Here is a 20,354-nt window from a genome sequence, read left to right on the forward strand (position 1 = left end):
GAGTTTGCACGGTGTTTTTTCTATTGCCAAATCCCCATTGCCTGAGTATTGAATGGGCCGCAATTATGAGACTCAACTCACAGCATCTGAAAGACTTCAAGTAGGGGGATCCCATCAGTTATATGGCCTTAACTGAAAGACCGGACTTTGTAATAGAGTCCCAATCTTAAAAGAGCATATACAGAATGGTGAGAGGCAAAACCAGACAAAACATAACCAACCCTGGATATCACTGGGTGACTTGGGTGGAAGCCAAACCTCCCTCACTTCCTTTGTCCCCTGAGGACTTTTTCTGGCCAGGTAAAGTAGAAATTTCATGATTAGCATTATATTTCAATTAAAATAGTTCTCAGAGCATTGTGAACAACTTCCCTCCAAATGAATAATAGTTATATTAAGAAATTAAGGGACCCAGGTGCAGTGGCTCATGCCTGTAATTCCAACACTTTGGAAAGTCGAGGGGGAGCATCACTTGAACCCAGGAGCTCCAGATCAGCCTGGGCAACACAGAGAGACTCTGTCTCCACAAAAAAATTAAAAATAAGCTGGACATGGTGGTGTGCACTGTGGTATCGGCTACTCAGGAGGCTGAAGTAGGAGGATTTCATGAGCCCAGGAGGTTGAGGCTGCAGTGAGCTGTGATTGTGCCACTGAATTCCAGCCTGGGCTACAGAGTGAGTCTCTATCTCAGGAAAAAAAGAAACTAAAGAAAAGAAATTAAAAGCATTACAGGGTAGCCCATTCAGAAAGAAGGCTCAAACTAAAAGAGGTTTCTTTAATGGAACTGGCAAAGCAGTTGGCCATTTGTTCATTCTGAAGGCATCTACCAGGAACCCAGGCTACCTGAAATGAGGAGGCCCTAGATGTGCAAGACTTGGCGCTCTTTCAAAAGCTTCACACAAAGCCTTTCTTTAAATCCTAACACCCTTTAAAAGCAGTTGGCTGAGATCACACAGCCAATTTCTAATGCCTAATTATCACTTGAAAAGGCAGAGGCTGGTGTGGAAGGATTGGGGAAGAACCATAAAGGACTCAAGCAGTGTTTCCTTTTAAATGCAATTAAGTGAATTTTCCCTGTGCTGTCCAGGTTGTTTTCTTAAAACAAGGATAGACTGAGATCCCATGTGGTTGTGAAAATAAGTTAGCAAAGCAATTATTTTTGCTAGCTGAGAATAAGAGGCTGGTTACATGATGGATTTTGTAGAATCTCTGTCATCCTTTGTAAATGAGGCTCCCTTGCCACTCGTAATTTGTAAGTGTGAAAGTGTTACTCAAAAATCTCCCCAAGGCAGGGAGTGAATGCACAGAAGACGCATGAACTGAGAATATACTCTGCCAGTTTTCCTGGACATGCAATTGCCTTTGAACTTGCTATAATATATTATGTCTGCAGAATTCAGAACATTATAATGGCCTTCATCCTTGACCCAAAAATCAGGGCAGAAGACTCTCCACAAGTAAATGTATTTATGGGGAAAACAATGTGTTATTTGAAATGAGCTCTACCTTGGACACTCCAAGCTATCAGCTTACCTTCCTGAAGAAGAAAAGGATAGGTGTATCCTCACCTTCAGTAGCAGGTCCTTCCAGCAAGATGAGACTCCTCCAAGGAAATTGCAGAAGACTTCCTGAGAAGGAACAACAGAAAATAGAAGACAATTTTGCTTATCCTGGAAAATGTGGCTCTTCCATCTGATGTCAAATATGTATTTTGAGCGTGGAACAAAGAGTATAATACAGATCCTCGTGTTCTTATAATTATGTTAGGGTTTCAGAAAAACAATATATACTTTAATATCCATCAATCAAATCATATGTATTTTATTTAAAAGTACTACTTAAATAATGCCTTTCAGAAAAGGAAGACTGTGCTCTGAGCCCTTGCATTTGCTCAGTCTTTTTCCCATTTCATCTCATTTGATCCTCAAATTCAATCATGAAAAAACTAAGTACCCAGGGAAGCTGAGATGGAGAGGAAGCCAGGAAGAAACTCAGGTCTCTGAACTCTTAGCCTAGTGCTGTTTATATAGTGTGAAACTATTCTGAAAATAGGGTCCAAAAACACAGGAGGTTAAAGAAGGAGATCATTCCATGATCCAGAAAGAGTAAATTATACAAGTGCTTTCTGATGGTTTTCTCCACCCTCTCTCTCTTAATTTTTGAATGAGTAAGTATATTAATAAATATGTTCAACTTTCCAGTACTCAAAATTTAATCATTATTCTCAATCCTACGTTTTAAGGAGGTGATAAGGTTATTTTTGTCTTCCCTCGCCCCACTCCATCCTCCATATTATCCATTCTCTACATTGAAATTAAAGTGACCCTTTTCAAACAAATCTGAGCAAGTGGGAGCCCTCCTGAAGATCTTCTCCTTGCTTAGAATAAAGGTAGAGATCTCAAGCCTGGGCCCTGCTTCCCCCCACCCTGCTTTGGATTCCAGTGACACTGGCCTCTGCCATGGCTGGGGACCCTCCTCTCCCTTCCCTCCTACCCATCTCCTACTCTTTGCCCCTCACCACCCAGTGAAGATCTGCTCGTCCTCTAGAGCTCAGCAAAGTGCCACTTTCTCGAGGAGAAACTCTTCCTTGCCTTCTTAATTAGATCAGGAGAAACCTGATCACAAGCCATGCTAATCTTTTTCTCCATAGTTCCTACCTCTTCTTGTGATCATCCATTTGTATAACTGATTAGTGTTTGTCTCCTCACTGTTGTGTAAGGTCCATAAACACAGGGATATCAACTGGTTTTGTACCACTTGTCCTTTGTACCTGGCATAGGGTTTACCATGCTGTAGATGATCAAAAAATCTACAGTGAGTGAGTGAGTGAATGAATGAATGAATAAAAAGACTTTGTAAGAAGCCAAGCCTAACAGCCTAAGTTTGCCTTACCATTTGCCTAATTGCAGGAACACAAGGTTACTTACTCTGATAATAGACTAGATAGTCGCTATGGAGCCGAACACAAATGTCAGCCACAGGAAGGTGGTCTGCTTCCTAGACCCATTGTCTCCTCTGTGGCACCAGGGAGTCCTCCCAATATGCAGCCCATCTCCCTAAAAACAGTTCCCTGTCCATCAAATCCTCCTACTCTCAGGAGTCAGTAGAGGCAGAGACAGCAGGGGTCAGCTGCTTGCCCACCTGAGGGCTCTGGTGTCATGGCTTCAGAATGCCATGGCCAGCTGTGTTAGTCCCTTTTCATGCTGCTAATGAAGACATACCCAAGACTGGGAAGAAAAAGAGGTTTAATGGACTTACAGTTCCACATGGCTGGGGAGGCCTCACAATCATGGTGGAAAGCAAGGAGGAGCAAGTCACATTTTACATGGGTGGCAGCAGGCAAAGAGAGAGAGTTTGTGCAGGGGAACTCCTCTTTTTAAAACCATCAGATCTCATGAGACTTATTCACTATCACGAGAACAGCAAGGGAAAGACCTGTCCCCAAGATTCAATTACCTCCCACCAGGTCCCTCCCACAACATGTGGGAATTCAAGATGAGATTTGGGGGGGACACAGCCAAACCATATCATTCTGCCCCAACCCCTCCCAAATCTCATGTCCTCACATTTCAAAACCAATCATGTCTTTTCAACAGTCCCCCAAAGTCTTAGCTCATTTCTGCATTAACTCAAAAGTCGACAGTCCAAAGTCTCATCTGGGACAAGGCAAGTCCCTTCTGCCTATGAGCCTGTAAAATCAAAAGCAAGCTAGATACTTCCTGGATACAATGGGGATACAGGTATTGGGTAAATACAGCCATTCCAAATGGGAGAAATTGGCCAAAACAAAGGTGCTCCAGGGCCCATGCAAGTCCCAAAACCAGCAGGGCAGTCAAATCTTGAAGCTCCAAAATAATCTCCTTTGACTCCATGTCTCACATCCAGGTCACGCTGATGCAAGAGGTGGGCTCCCATGGCCTTGGGCAGCTCTGCCCTGTGGCTTTGCAGGGTATAGTCCCCCCTGGCTGCTTTCACAGTCTGGCGTCGAGTGTCTGCAGCTTTTCCAGGTGGATGGTGCAAGCTGTCAGTGGATCTACCATTCTGGGGTCTGGAGGACAGTGGCCCTCTTCCCACAGCTCTACTAGGTGGTACACCAGTAGGGACACTGTGTTGGGGCTCCAACCCCACATTTCCCTTGTGCACCACCCTAGCAGGGGTTCTCCATGAGGACTCTGCCCCTGCACAAACTTCTGCCTGGGCATCCAGGCATTTCCATGTATCCTCTCAAATCTAGGTGGCAGTTCCCAAACCCCAGTTCTTGACTTCTGTGCACTCGCAGGCTCAACACCATGTGGAAGCTGCCAAGGCTTGGGGCTTGCACTCTCTGAAGCCACAGCCTGAGCTGTATCTTGGCCCTTTTTAATCATGGCTGGAGAGGCTGGGATGCAGAGCACCAAGTCCCTAGACTGCACACAGCAGAGGGACCCTGGGTCTTTCCCACAAAACCATTTTTCCTTCCTACGTCTCCAAACCTGTGAGATGACTGGTGCTGCAAAGGTCTCTGACATGCCCTAGAGACATTTTCCCCATTGTTTTGGTGGTTAACATTTGGCTCCTCATTACTTGTGTAAATTTCTGCAGCTGGCTTGAATTTCTTCTAAGAAAATAGGATTTTCTATTGTCAGGCTGCAAATTTTCCAAACTTTTATGCATTTCCCTTTTAAAACTGAATGCTTTTAACAGCACCCAAGTCACCCCTTGAATGCTTTGCTGCTTAGAAATTTCTTCTGCCAGATATTGTAAATAATCTCTCTCAAGTTCAAAGTTCCACAAATCTCTAGGGCAGGGGTAAAATGCTACCAGTCTCTTTGCTAAAACATAACAAGAGTCACCTTTCCTCCAGTTCCCAACTAGTTCCTCATCTCCATCTCAGACCACCTTGGACTGGATTTCATTGTCTATATAATTATCATCATTTTGTTCAAAGTCATTCAAAAGTCTCTAGGAAGTTCCAAACTTTCCCACATTTTCCTGTCTTCTTCTGAGCCCTCCAAACTCTTCCAACCCCTACCTGTTACCCAGTTCCAAAGTCACTTCCACACTTTCGGGTGTCTTTTCGGCAGTGCCCCACTCTACTGGTACCAACTTACTGTATTAGTCTGTTTTCATGCTACTGATAAAGACATACCCAAGACTGGGAAGAAAAAGAAGTTTAATGGACTTGCAGTTTCACATGGCTGAGGAGGCCTGGCAATCATGGCAGAAGGCAAAGAGGAGCAAGCCATGTCTTACATGGATGGCCGCAGGCAAAGAGAATTTCTGCAGGGGAACTCCTCTTTATATAACTGTCAGATCTCATGAGACTTATTCATGATCACAAGAACAGCATGGGAAAGACCTGTCCCCATGATTCAATTACCTCCCACCAGGTCCCTCCCACAACACGTTGGAATTCAAGATGAGATTTCGGTGGGGACACAGCCAAACCATATCACTAGCCAAGATGAGGACCTCACAGATGCTGAAGTTGGGGAGCTTCACTATAAGAGGTATGGGGCAGGGGGTGCTGTCCTTTGGCATCTAAGGCATCTGCTTTATAAGATGCTGGATTATCACCATATGTTCTCACCCAACTGGTTATGTAGCATGAGGGAAAAAAGCCAATCATCGCTGATATTTGAGAACTAACCTAATGACAAAAGAAAAACAAATTTTTGGGTTCCTCATGTAAAAATATTCCAACAATTGTAATCATTTGTGGAACTATTTACTATTAACAATATGTATTATTATTGTTATTATTGTAATAGCAATTAGGTTCCTCATTAATTATATGTAAAGGCCTCTTTTTTTTTTTGAGAAAAAGTCTTGCTCTGTCACCCAGAGCAGAGTGCAGTAGCACAATCTCAGCTCACTGCAACCTCTGCCTCCCAGATTCAAGCGATTCTCCTGCCTCAGCCTCCTGAGTAGCTGGGATTACACATGCCCAGCGCCACGCCCAGCTAACTTTTGTATTTTTAGTAGAGATGGGGTTTCGCCATATTGGCCAGGCTGGTCTCAAACTCTTGACCTCAAGTGATCTGCCTGTCTTGGTCTCCCAAAGTGCTAGGATTACAGGTGTGAGCCACGGCATCCAGCCTGTAAAGGCATTTTTGTCCAATTTCTTTTCTAATCATAGAATAACCCTCTCTGTATTTTGAGTCTGTCTTCTCCATGTGTTGACATTATAGCCCAGATGCTCACAGCTTATGCTGGGCAACCTTGAACTAGTAGATGTAACTTTCATTCTTCTTGACCTTGGGCCTACAGAGTTTTGTTCCATCCCATTGGCTATAACCCATAGTCCTGTGCATCTTAGAGTTCTGAGAATAAATGTCCCCTTGTGCACTAAATACCTTAACAAGCTGAGGTAAACAGGTCTGAGACTCATCAGTACCTAAATCATCCCTACTGTTCCATGAGACTTCTAAGAGAGTCTGCTGGTAGTGTGGCATTAAGGACCCTGTGCCTACTTGTGCATAGCCCTTGCCTACTTGTGCATAGGTCTTAGAAGAATTTGTATTTGCCATGAGTTTTGCTGGGACCTCCTGTTACAAAGATCCCTGATCTTTTGATGGTTTTGCTGGACAGCTAAGGACCAACTGCGTGCCTCATTGTTGTTATCCTGGCAACCATCCTTTGTTCTTTGGTGTCTTTGTGGCTGGATCCAGGGCTGATTAAGGTGAGGCAAGTGAGGTGTCTGTGGTGCAAAGTGGAAGGAGGTGCTCACATTCAGGGGCATATAAGTGCTAGCCTTGTCTGACTCACATTTTCCTTTCTCCTAAAATTTTAGTATCTTCCTACCCATCACCTTCCACAGCCTTATTTTCATTCAGTTGCCCAAGTTATTACCTATGGGGCCAGATCCTGCCCACTATGAGCTCTCCAGGTAGAGAGTACTAAGAGTTCTCAAATTGCACAGTTCTAATATGCACAAATATGCAGAGAGAGGGAGGGTCAGCTATTACCATGATTTAGTTAAATAACACCAGACCCACAATAATATGGTTCACATTTCAGATACTATAGTATCTAATACTGACATACTGATCATATATTAACTGTAATTACATAAAATATGAATTTTACTGATAGCTCTTCAGTCCATAAATTATTGTGCAATAATAGATGTGCACCATGATCATTGACCACATGTAACTGTTTCCAGAGTCTGAGGGTGAGTGGTCACTATGCATCTGTTATTTAGTTCCTGCACAGACAGCAAACCACGTAGTTATATTGCTTTCTTGTCTCCTAGTGTTAAACCCATATGGCATTTTATAAATAATTGAAAGAAGGGATTGGCCACAAAAAGGAAAGCACAGGAAAGAAACAAAAAGTGATAATGCTGAAAGTGAAACTGAAGTAGAAGGTAATGGAACTGAAGTAGAAGACATGGCCACCTGTGGGCATGTTGACACTGCCACCATAGGAGAGACCCTCGCTGCAGAGCCAGAGGAACTTAATGAAGACCAACCTACCAAGATAAATGAGACTGAAAAAAATGAATTTGTCGAGAGGAAGCAACACCAACCAAAATTTCACATAAAAGAGCTCTTGAAGATATTTCATGCAAAGCATAAAATATTGGAAGCTGATCCAAACTTGGAAACCTGACAATTTGCCAAGACACAGGAAAGGCACTTGCTCTGTATTGTAAGTTATATGGCAAGAATAAGGTCAATGATCTTCAAGTTACTCTTGATTAGTTTTTGCAAAGAAATAAAACACTTCAATTCTCAATGCCTCTAAAATTTTAAATTACAAGTTACAATGTACTAAACATAATTTTTACTATTTTGAATTTCTTTATACATTTATTTAAAAAGTTAGTGAATGTTTAATATTTTCATAAAAATTTTCAAGATCACAGAACAACGGTAATTTTTCCAATGGATTATTAAGGTCACTTTGCACAGTTTCAGCTTGAACTGTCCTATTTAACAGTCCCAAAATACCATGCAAAGCAAAGGTTGCCTGCCTTCAGCCTTGGGAGCCAAGCCAGAGTGTGTGAATGTTTGCCCTTGGGTGGGGGGCAGAAGGGAAGGTAGGGGAAGATTGCATCTCATCAGTGGACAGAGAATCCAGAAAGTAAGAAGAAATATTGATTAGAATCCAGAGAATGGGGCCCCAAGTTGGAAGCTAGGAAGCTAACCAATCAGGCTAGAGGACAAGGTAGAAAAACAAAAGAGAAAATAAATAAATATTAGTAACAAAAAGACCAAAAATTAAGCAGGTTCTCAATGCATTAGCTATACCAGTTCTGGAGCTAGATATGCCTAAGGCTTTGCTTTTATTCATAGTAATGAATACTTCTCTGCTACAGAGACAGGCCCTTAAAGGATCTAGGGGTCTTTAGGAGTCTATTTCTACTATTTTAAATCCTCTTAATGCGGAAGGAGAGAAGGTGATCTCCGCCCTGGGCCAGTAGTCTAGGACCTGAAATGGACGTCAGAGTCTTCAAAACTGGCTGGTATCTACCGTGGACAGAGCAAATGGAGAAGCAAAGAGAAGAAATGTCACAACCAAATTGCTTTCAAAAATGATGATTTAATACAAGGATATGAGAGTAGGTGAAATAGCAGGTAGCATGGCCTTCTTACCTATGTGACCCCCTGAGGTTCCAGGACTTGGCTTCTGGAGAATATTAATACAGCCCTGGACTGAAAGTATACTCTCGCTGTATGGGATCTTGGTCCCAGAGCACCAGGTGGACTGCACGGTCATGGGCATGGTGGGACCATAGGAGTCCTTCCCCACAGAACATCCAGCTCCACAGGCTGCATCTTTTTCTGGAACCTCTGGCAACAGGCAGAGGAATAGCCCAGATTGAGACCGGGAGGAAGGCTTGGAAAATGGGCCCACCAAGAGATTGATGGGAGAGACAGAGAACCTCAGGATGCATGGATAGCAGATTGAGAACACTTGGCTCTCCTCTGCTACTCACAGGTCTGAAGACAAGAATGGAAACCACAGTGCATAGAAAACCTGGCCCTCTCTGGACGTAAGAATTTATTTTGTGACTCCCAGTTAAGCGAAAAACTAGGAAGGCTCCCATCACTGTCTTCCTGGAGTTTGCGGGTAATGGCTCAACTACATCTGAAGGGAAAGGAGGTCAGAGTCTCCAGGCTGCTGTTGGTTTCTCTTTGGGGATATGAGGATCAGCACCAGAGTGCTAGGGGCTGGGCACATGGGGCCCCCATTCATATGTCCCTGTTGCAGGCAAACACTGTGAAATGAAGAGGGGGAATCCCTGTGTACCAACCACCTTCCCATAGGAACTGGGATCCAAAAGGTGGGAACTCAGGGCACAGACCTGGCAGCTGGACAAGGGTGAATTATTATCATGCATGACCCTCAGCAGCCCTAGCTGCTGCTAGGCACCCAGAGTTTTTCCTGTGCTCATCATAGGTCCTGGGATCACCTCGGGGGGAAGTGTCTGAAACACCCTACAGAGTAAGTAGAGTCAAGGTTGTCTCCTCCTGCATTCTGGAACCAGGATCTTAATACCAAGCAGACCCTCAGTTACCAGCATGGGACTGCCAAACTTCAGCAGTGATGCAGGCAAAGGCAGGCTGAGAGACAGCCAGGACGTTTGAAAGAAGTATCTGAAGATGGAACAAATAGGAGGTAGGATAGAGGCAGGGGTTGGCTCCAGTGTTACATCCAGGTTGTGCAATCTTGATTGTTGAGATCCCTTCCAATATTTCTTTAACAACCTACCAGAAATGTTTTGACAAGAATGCTTCCTGAAGGTAGCCTGGATTTCTCTCCTCCCTGAACACTCTATGGCTCCCAGCCATCCCTAGTACTCGAGATGGACCTCGCAAGTGAGGACTCCTTAAGTCCTGAGACTTCAGCTTCATTAACTTCCAGGAAAATCTGCCCCTAGCTGGGCTCAAGAGACAGACAGCTGCCTGTCCTGTGAGGGGAAAGGGGCTGCTATAATCCTGAGCAAGTCGACACCTGTTTCCTTTGCTCTTTCAGGAAATTCAAAAAAGGATTTTTTCCACTGTTTTTGCAGCGCAGTCTATGTTGTCCTTCAACACTGAGCAGCTGAGTACAACTCTCTTTACCCTGGTCAATGCTATTATAATTTATTGGTGCAATGTTCTCACAAGTTCCAGGACACAAAGATCTTTCCTTGACATAATCCCTCCATGCTCTCCCCAGCCACACGATTCTCTCCCCATCCCCTCACAATGCATGGCCGTGTGGCTCTACATTTTGTCCGACAGACAGTAGCTGGAATAAAAATAAATTCCACACATTAATTTAAATAAGCCCATTGGGCAGATAAAGTGTTTGGGCATACCAGTCAATATTCGTTGCCTAAAGCTTCTACTCCGAAAGAAACCAGCACCATGGCCAATGCTGCTCTACCCTAGGCTCTTCTATCCCAGAGGAAAGCATCTTGTTTCTATTGTCAAATGTTCGGGGGATTCTTTGTTCAAAGGAAATCATACTTAGAAGTCTAATGTGGGGAGGCCGAGGCGGGTGGATCATGAGGTCAGGAGATCGAGACCATCCTGGCTAACAAGGTGAAACCCCGTCTCTACTAAAAAATACAAAAAATTAGCCGGGCGCGGTGGCGGGCGCCTGTAGTCCCAGCTACTCGGGAGGCTGAGGCAGGAGAATGGCGTGAACCCGGGAAGCGGAGCTTGCAGTGAGCCGAGATTGCGCCACTGCAGTCCGCAGTCCGGCCTGGGCAACAGAGCGAGACTCCGTCTCAAAAAAAAAAAAAAAAAAAAAAAAAAAAAGAAGTCTAATGTGTAGAACACATAAAAGCAGAGGAGCAAAATTGGAGTAGGGGAGGTAGCCCCAAGTCTGCACCCACCTTACCGCCCCCCTCAACCACTGCCTTCATCTAATGGCCTTTAAGGAAAGCCCTAGGGCCCTTGAGAGCAGGGTCAGAAAGCACCGCACTAGGTAAGTAGGCAGCTCCGAGCTTCCCTTCCACTGCCTACATCGTAAGCGTCTCTGCTCACACTCAGCCCCAAGCCTCCTGTGTCGAGTGGGATGAGGGTTTTCATTGTGTGGGTAATGTATGGGTTTTAATATTCAAGTTTGCAGTCTCTGTCTTTGATATAACCTGTGCATTTCTGAATAGGAACAATGTCCCTGGCGACTCCTCACTCTGAGCAGCAGCCAAATCTGCAGCCGGTCTCCCATAGAGCAATGCAAAAAGCCAGCAATAAAAAAACTCAATAGCAAATCAACAGGGTGTCGTTCTTGAACAAATGCACATTCATAATTTGTAACTGTGTAGTTATAAATCCCCTCCTAGAGCTTTGCTCTAACGACCCAAAACAGAGGATGCTTTTGTTTTTTTCTCCATTTGGGTATTTGGTGAAGGAGCAATGTACATTTGCCAAGAGTACAAATATTGATACTTTTTAGTACCTTAACGCCTTGCCTCAGATGCCGTGGAGTTACGAAGAATCAGTGCCTTGTTTTACCAAACACTACCTCTGAAATAAAGTTCTTCTTGGCTGCAGATATAATTTCAGAGAAAAAAAAGAGTATATTTGATTTGCCACAAGAGGTTTAAAAACATAGGCCCCATCACCAAATCCTCAGTGGCATGATTGTATGTGTGTATGACTGTATGTGTGTACATCTCAGCCCAAAATGTTCTCTCTAATCAATGTTAACTACATAATGCTTGGCAAAAGGGAGAACATTCCAGGGTCCATTGTATCTGAAGCTCAGCCCTTATTGAAAGGGGAAAAGGAAGAGGTCAGCAGGAAGAGAATTCTAGAGCAGAGATTATGTTCACCATTCAGAAATGATCGACCCTCAGCAACAGAGCTCCTGTTATCTTGGTGCTTAAGTTAGCAAATGACATTCAATTATTTGGAGCAGCACTGATAATAGAATTCCCTAAAATGACAGAAATGTTCTATGTCTGTGTTGGCCAATACGGTAGACACTAACTACCACACTAACTACTTGAGCACTTGAAATGTGGCTAGTGAGACCAAGGAACTAAAGGTTTAATTTATTTAATTAATTTAACTAGCCACATGTGGGTACTGGCTACTGCATTGGGCACCACAGATTTGGAACATTAAGACACTAATTTGGGAGGTTGTGGATGGACATAGAATCAACCATTCAGGCAGTCAGTCTGAGTATATAGAAACCAGAGATTTGAAGTTGCAAGATACCTTAGCATCCTCATGTATCAGAGACAGTAGGGTTTAGGAACTTCATGTTAAATGCTAATCAACATAATGGAATTTGATAGGAGTAATAGCAATACTTGGACACGCTGTCATCAGGAAGTTCAACCCATGTACAACCACCTGCCGAGATGGTTTTGGCCTTGAAAGAGCCAGGCTAAATGTCCAGCCACTTTTGTGGTTGCACAAAGAAGGCTGAACCTAAAGGGGCTGGAAGGAAAATAATATTCCCTGAATATCTACCCTGTACCAGGTGCTTTCACCAAGGGACTCTCATTTTATCTTCACAACAATCCCACTCCCAGAGAGCAGGAAGGAGATAATGTCTCAGAAAAGTAAATGCTCAAGACTTAAACAGAGATTAAGTATAACTCTTACGGCTCAAACTCTGGTCATATTTGCACCAGAACCCCTCAGAAGGCATCGTGTCTCTCTTCTGATAAGGGCTTTCTCCAGTGGACCAGCTCCATGTTCGACTCCCTTCTCTTACTTTTTCCCTTCCATTTCTCATCTCCTCCCAATGTGCTTCCATCTCACCCCTGGTGAGCTTAGCTACCCACCAGTTCTCTCCACCCCTGCTGCAAGCTCCAGGCCCCCCATCTTTAGTTGCTATTGCAGGCACCTTGCTCCCACTTCATGCTCAAACACATTAGTTCTGAAACTAAGGTCTTGTCAACCTGACTGCTTTTATGGTCTTTAACTGAAAGTTCTATGTTCTCCTGATATAAAATGTAATAGCAACATTTATTCAACAAATACTTATTGAACACTGGGCTAGACACAAAACAGACAAAGTGGTAAAAATGTAGACAAGGACCTTACCTGCAGAGCTCACAGTTTACTTTTGGACAGCTGTCAAGCAGGAAAGCATTCAATTATGTATTCATACACGCTTATACTGGCTACACTGGGGCTATGAGAGCTTATAACAAGGGAGCCTGACCTATCTGAGGGTGGATGGAGCTGTTAGGAAGATGTGCCTCCAAGGAATGATGTTCCACCTGAGATCTGAAGAATGCACGGGAGCTGACCAGGTGAAGAAGCAGGATGGTGGGAGAGCTGTTTCAGGTGGTGGGAAGGGCAGGTGTTAACCGCCTAGGAAGGATCAAGGCTTCTTAGAGGAACTCAGAGTAAGCCAGCATGATTGGAGTGCAGGAAGCAGGGGGATGGTATGAGATGAGGTGGAGGGTCCTTTAAATTAGGAAAGTTCTCAGTCTTTACTGTTTATCCCTCCAGTTCGTTTTCAGTTTTTCTAGTGCTCCTATCACAGAGAATCTGACAGTTTTTCTCTCCTGAGTGTGTCATATGTTTTCTCATATCTTCATCCTTTTCTTGTGTCTTCTGGAAAGGATTTCTGGGAGAATTTCTCCACCTGATCTTTTACTTAACTCATTTATTCTTTGCCTTTACTCATTCTGCCCTTCAACTCATCTGTGGAATTCTTCATATCAGCTATTCTATTTTTCTCACCCAATCCTTGTAATAACTGCTCATTCCTGCTTCATGCCACCAACATCCTCAATTTCCTTTCTATGATGCTTATGATAATAAAAATAAGCATAGGATGATTCTTTTAAAATTGTATTCTGCCAGGTCCATTAGATGTACTTCATCTGTGTTAAGTTTTGCAGCCTGACACCTCTTGGTTGGTTGGTTTGTCCTCCTCAGGTACCTTCCACTTTTCCCATATATGAGCTCGTATTCCCTGGGGTGCAAGAGCTAACACAGCTGAGAATTTGTGCCTAGGAAACAACTTTGGCCTAAGTCAGGATTGGTCCCCTCCTGATGTTTCAGGGAGTTGGTGGAGCCTGCCTGGCACTCTAGTGTCAACTCAGAGGCACTAAGTTCCATGTGCTGGGCCTCCCCAAGTCACTCAGTGCCTGTGAAAGTCCCTTTATTGCCAGCAGTGGTTCTCCCTGTCCTGTTTGTAATAAGCTGCTCTCAGGATGGACAGACACACCTGGGAGAGGAGGCGGAGTCAGGGCAGTCAGGTCCTTCCACACCTGTTGTCCTCTGGGCCCTACTCCAGCCAGCCCTAAGCCTTCACACTTCCCCACCATGCCAGTGGATGCTGCTTCTATTCTGCTACAGAATGGTTATAAAGTAAGAAATTATTCATATCGGATAATAGGGCTGGGAGAAAAAGGAACACAAAAATTAAGACACTTTTCTTTAGTTAATTCTCGTCTACAGCATCCTGGCCTCTCTGGCTGTGTCTCTCCGCTCCTGACCCCCAAATACATACACGCAAATCCACATATGAAGCAAGCTCCTACCACCCTCAGTCTCTCTGAGCATTTCTTACTGCCTTTGCATCATTTTATTAGATTCTTCCACTCCTTCTTACTTCTATATCATCTCAGGGTCAGGGTCAGGAAAAGAAGCTAAAACCCCACGCTAGCTTGCGATCTATTTATTTTTTATGTCTGAACTCAATGGTACAGATAGAAACAACTTTATATCTGCCCTACCTCTGCTGTCAAATATATTCTGCCTCAGTGCTGTTATCCTGGCAACCATCCTTTGTTCTTTGGTGTCTTTGTGGCTGAATGCAGGGCTGATTAAGGTAAGGCAAGTGAGGTGTCTATGGTGCAAAATGGAAGGAGGTGCCCATGCTTAGGGGCATGGAAGTGCCAGCCTTGTCTGACTGCCATTTTCTGCTCTCCTGAAATTTTAGTGTCTTCCTACCCATCACCTTGCACAACCTTTTGCCCTATCTATGTCCCCTCACCTCTTGATGACAACTTGGAAAGATGCTATGGCTCTCCAAGCACTTCTACTTACAAGAAAAGTCTCAATGTGGTCATTAAGACTGACTTTCAGGCATTAAAATATTTATCCAATATCATCCGAAATTCTGATCTGACAGCCAATCCAAAGCATCTCCCACCTGCTGTCAACCTTATGGGGGAAGGGCATTGATCGTTCTTTCCCGATTCTTGCTCATTCTTTCCTTAGCCCAGTGCCCCACAGCCCAGGCTCTGATTCTTCATAGAAATTATAACTAGAAGTTTCTAGTAGGAAAGACTGAGAAACCTGCTAAAGTGTCTTATGACAGGAAATAGCAGCTCTAAATATCTGCCCCATCCAGAGAGCACAATATCCTCTTCAAAACTTTTTTCTTTTCCCAACAGCTTTCTCCAAAATACCTTTCCTCTTGGCCTCTGGACTTTACTCTTTGATAGACATATAAGGTGGGCTGTGCGCTAAGGGTTGCAAAACTGTTTTGGGACCGCCCTTTCTGAAAGTCTTATATCGGTGAATTAGCACTCTGGAATGCAGGGGTATGTGCCAAGTATTGTTTTTGCTTTCTTTGTGGAGCCTCAGCCCATACAGAGACAGGAAAATACCATTTAAAAATCCTATGCCATGGGCTACTATATATAAAACACAGGGCATATGGTAAGCATTTAAGGGTTCCCTTCATTCCTTTGGACCTAGCACAGACTTGTCTGGGAAAAGTGTAAGCCTTGCCACCCTCATCTCCCACTTGTGTTGCACAGCAACACCCGCCACCTTGCCACCCGCATCTCCCACTTGTGTTGCACAGCATCCATCTCTCCAGGACCACAGGGGTCTCTGTGGCCTGCACAAAGATGATCCTGATGGCCATCGGGAGGTACTGGTAGGTATGAAGGGAGCTCTCTCTACATTGCTGCTTTCGTCAGCCACAATACAGGCAAACAACAGTGGCCTTGGCCCTAAAAATGAGTCCTCACAACATGATTTATTGCAATTTCTGGTAAAAGACCATCAAAAGGATGAGACCCAACCAACTTTTTTGGCATGAAAAACTTGTGGCAGCTAAATGGGGCATTTCTTACCAAAAGGAGAGCTACAACTGAGAACTTCCTGAGCTCACCCCAAACATAGACCCTGGGATGGTGATGTTTGTCTACCAAATTATGAAATGCTAGCAGATCACTTTGTCCATTTGGTTCTAAGGACTGTCCATCAGGAGTGAGGGAACACTCATCAACAATCTTTGAATGTTGAAGTAAAAAGGGATTGGATTGTTATCAGTGCCAGGTTCCTAGTGTGATAAGGTACTATAGCTATGCAAGATGTTACCACTGGGGGAAACTGGGTGAAGGGTATATGGGATTTTCTCATATTACTTCTTACAGCTGCTTATGTATCCACAATTATCTCAAAATTAAAGTTTTTTAAAAAGGATGGGAGATAATCAAGTTTAATGCCTTCTATTTTTTGGTTTGTTTGTTCTTACTAGATTTAGAGTTATATCTAACTACCCTTTACAGGTTACTTTTTCTTACAGAAGCAAAGTCTGTTTTAAAAAAGAGAGAGAGAAAAATCCCAAAAAATAGGAAGAAAAACAAAAGTAGAACAAATTATGCTTACTTCTACTTCATGAATTTGATGATGGTATACATTTTGGTGTATTTGTTTTCACGTGACTTTTACAGAGTTAAAAATAATACTCTTTTTGTTTGTCTTTTATAGAAATAGGGTCTCACTCCATTGCCTTGGCTGGCGTCCACTGGAATGATCATAGCTGACTGTAGCCTCAAACTCTTGGACCCAAGCATTTCTCCCGCTTTAATCTCCCAAGAAGTTAGGACTGCAGGTGTGCACCAACATGATCATTTTTTTTTTAATTTTGTAGAGATGGGGTCTTGGTATGTTGCCCAAGCTTGTCTTGAACTCAAGTGATCATCATACACTGGCCTCCCAAAGTGCTGGGATTATAGGTGGGAGCCACTGCACCTAGCAAAATAATACTCTTAATATTGTACTTTTGTATATTTAATTTTGTATTATGGCTTTTAAAATTAACAATTGAGAAAGAAAACAGCAGCCTCTTATATTGGGGGCTGGCCAGGCATTCACAAGCAGGCCTTGGCATTCTCCTGCTGAACAGGAACAATTTCACAGAACACAACCGTCAGACAAGGCCACTCTGTGTCCATGATATGGACCTAAACAGAAATAAGACCATTCGTAGTCATGTCTGATCACAGACAAAACACAAACATTCTCCAAACCACAAAATAACCAAAGAAAGTATCCCTCATCTTGGCCAATATGAGTGACTGTTGTTTCTCTATCAATTACAGCTTTAGCTTCAGTCTAGTCTTCCCTCCTAGGTAAGATTTATTAAGATGTGGCCAGGCACAGTGGCTCATGCCTGTAATCCCTACATTTTGGGAGGCTGAGGCAGGTGGATCACCTGAGGTCAGGAGTTCGAGACCAAACAGGCCAACAGGATGAAGTCTCATCTCTACTAAAAATACAGAAAATTAGCTGGGTGTGATGGCAGGTGCCTGTAATCCCCAGCTATTCGGGAGGCCTGAGGCAGGAGAATCACTTGAACCCGGGAGGTGGAGGTTGCAGTGAGCCAAGATCATGCCATTGCCCTCCAGCCTGGGCAACAAGAGCAAAACTCTGTCTCAAAAAAGAAAAAAAAAATTAACAAAAAAAGATGCTCAGTCTTAGAATTCCCCTTATTTTCTGGCAGCATCCAATTCAGAACAAAGCCATAGTCCTCAAAGCCCTTTCCAAATAATTCATCACAAGCCCAAATTCTGTAAGTCCTTTCTAACACCTTACTGAGACGCCCCACAGTTCTCTGTGGTGCCCATTCTCCCTTGCTGCAATGAGTAATAAGCTTAGCTTGTTCAACTACAAGTGTGTTTCTGGTGGCCTTTTGCTGGAGGGCATTGAAACAAGATTATAAACATTCAACTGAGCTATGGCACATGCATCTTCATTCTCCTTTTTAATAGTTGCATTATGTTCCATTCAATGAATGGCCCATAGTTCATTTGACTCTAATGATAGACCTTCAGTTATCCTTCAGGTTCTCCATTTTGTAAATACCACTGTGACATGCACCTTCTTACATAAATATTTCTGGTGATTTCCTCAGGTAAAATTAATAGAATTCCCAAGACAAATAGTTGGACATTTTTAAGGCCTTTGATGCATATTGTCTCTCTCTTCATTTTATAGAGGAGGAAACTGAGAAACAGATGGAAAATGACTAGTCCAAAATCAATAACTATCTAATATCAGGTTCAAGACAAAGATTTCCTGACTCTAAACACAGCTTTCTTTAATTTTTTTAGACTACAATGGGAGATGTGTGCATATAAATCAATAAATTAAGAGTTTCAGCTGGGCACGGTGGCTCATGCCTATAATCACAGCAGTTTGGGAGGCCCAGGCAGGAGGATCACTTGAGGTCAGGAGTTCAAGACCAGCCTGGATAACATAGTGAAACCTCGTCTTTACTAAAAATACAAAAAAATTAGCCGGGCGTGGTGGCATGCACCTATATTCCTCACTACTTGGGAGGCTGAGGCAGGAGAATCGCTTGAACCTGGGAAGCAGAGGTTGTAGTGAGCTGAGATCTCACCACTCCACTCCAGCTTGGGTGACAGAGCAAGACTCCTTCTCAAAATAAATAAATAAAAGTTTTATGTGATATCCACTTAAGGTTGATTTATAGTCACTGAGATTATAGGGACCCAACATGGGGTAAATCCTGTGAGCAGTTCTCAGCCATGCTGAGGTTCTCTGAAACCATCTTGCACTCAAGTCTCTCAGGCCACTGCGGACAAGGATCCTTCCTAAGTGCTTTGGGTGCGTAGGTCCTGTAGGTACTAATCCTAGAACCTGTGGGCCCAAGGGAGCCTAGAGCTGCCATTTGTCCTCTGGGAAAGAAAACAAGCCAGCATTTCTCTAATGGGTGAAGACAACCAGGCCCATAAGGTGCAACCAATCAGTCCCAGGGAGACATGAACCTGTTTCTTCCATTGGCTAATAAGAGTCATTCCCGGCCAACCAAATACCCAAAGTAAGAGAAACGCAACATTTGTTTTATCCCCCTCTGTTTTTGCCTATGCTGTTTTGGAAGCTATTTCATAGTCTTTATAGCCAGTTTTCTATTCCTAAGTTCTAGAACTTATATTCATTCATGTGTTTATTCCCTCATTCCTCAGGTATTTGTGGATTGTTTTCCGAGTACTGAGGATATAGAGATAAAATAAGACATGATTCCAGCCTTCCCTGAGTTCACACCATCCTGGAGGAGGCTGTCATGCAAATATTGACAGCCTACTCTGCCTAGAGTTAAATATATGTCAGTCCTGGAACCCCAAAAGCAGGAGGTAGAGTTAAGTCCTGCCAGGGAAGTCTTAGAGGAACTCACAGAGGTGACATTTGAGCTTTGTTTTAGTAATTTAGCAAAGAAAGAGAGTATGGAAAGAAGAAAGAGAACATTTTAGAGCTAAGGCTGAGTAAGTACAAAGAGGGGTGGAAGTGAAAGAATATATTCTGCACCCAATGGGGCTAAATCTTTCCAGTCTAGAGCCCAGACTTCTTGCCTTGTAATCAGGTAGAACTGGTTCAATTTCTGGCTGCATAGTGCAGATGATATTGGACCTTAGGCAGGTGTCTTTACCTCTTTGGAGCCTTGCCTCCCCATCAGAAAAATATAAATGATAAATACAGGCTGTGTTAGGTTATTACGAGGACCAAATGTAAAAACAAATGCGTAAGTTTTTAGCACCAGGCCTGACATTTTAAAAAGCACAAAATAAACAATAAAAGATTTTCAGTAAAAGTTTTGTTTCTTTGTTCTTCCACTTGGGCCGTTCTGGGAAATACCCTGCTCAGAGAACCACAGTGATGAGCCTTGTGTGAGGTTAGCTTAGCTTACATGAATTCCATTTGCTCTTTATCGAAGGCTCTGCTCTGGAAGTAGTCACAAATCTTACAAAAACTCAACTGTTAATATAGCACAAGCCTGAAGAGGGGGCACTTACTGAGGACCCAGTGAGAGGAAAAAAGCAAAACGTCTTGCATTGTGTAAAACCTATTTTCCCAGTTGCATTGCATTTTACCTTTTTAAATTTAACAATAGCAGTAAATTTAACTTCAGCATTACCTGCTGACTCTGAATCTAAAGTACCTAGTAGGTGACTCACCTGTTTCTCTCAAGGAAGAGCCACTCACATCAAGTGTATTGGAGAAAGGCAGGGCTACAACCTACCTGATTCACACTGAGAATGTTGACTGCACACCAGGCCCAAATTGTAAGCTTAGTCCAGTAAGGAATCAGGGTCAGGTAATGAAGTGGGTTTGGGGTTAGTGTTGAATCTTGAGAGATCTTCTCCCTTTAACCCAGGATCTGTAACTACTTGGGGCAAGTTTTTCTGATTGAGT

The 20,354-nt window shown here is 43.4% G+C and overlaps 1 protein-coding gene across 8 annotated transcripts in view, besides 1 other annotated feature; it reads right to left on the reverse strand.

Moving 5' to 3' along the window:
• PDE1C (phosphodiesterase 1C) overlaps window positions 1-20,354 on the reverse strand; it is an 811,448-nt gene that overhangs the window by 92,683 nt on the left and 698,411 nt on the right. For 6 of the 8 annotated variants that reach the window (XR_001744802.1, XR_001744803.1, XR_007060042.1 and 3 more), the window contains one exon: window positions 1,534-1,628. Coding sequence is in view for 3 of the 8 variants with exons in the window: in XM_047420443.1 (XP_047276399.1) it covers window positions 1,534-1,628 (95 nt within the window). In the remaining 5 variants the exon portion in view is untranslated. The remainder of the gene's footprint in view (window positions 1-1,533; window positions 1,629-20,354) is intronic. The other 2 variants (XR_007060044.1, XR_007060043.1) reach the window with 1 other exon arrangement.
• Window positions 796-1,422: an enhancer, noted in NCBI's record as "OCT4-NANOG-H3K27ac hESC enhancer chr7:31749869-31750495 (GRCh37/hg19 assembly coordinates)". NCBI's record gives its function as "activates a minimal SCP1, AML or CMV promoter by ChIP-STARR-seq in primed H9 embryonic stem cells {active_cell/tissue: H9 hESC(primed)}" and the evidence as "EXISTENCE:reporter gene assay evidence [ECO:0000049][PMID:30033119]".

Source organism: Homo sapiens, chromosome 7 (assembly GCF_000001405.40).
Source record: "Homo sapiens chromosome 7, GRCh38.p14 Primary Assembly".
In the NCBI taxonomy this organism is placed as follows: domain Eukaryota; kingdom Metazoa; phylum Chordata; class Mammalia; order Primates; family Hominidae; genus Homo; species Homo sapiens.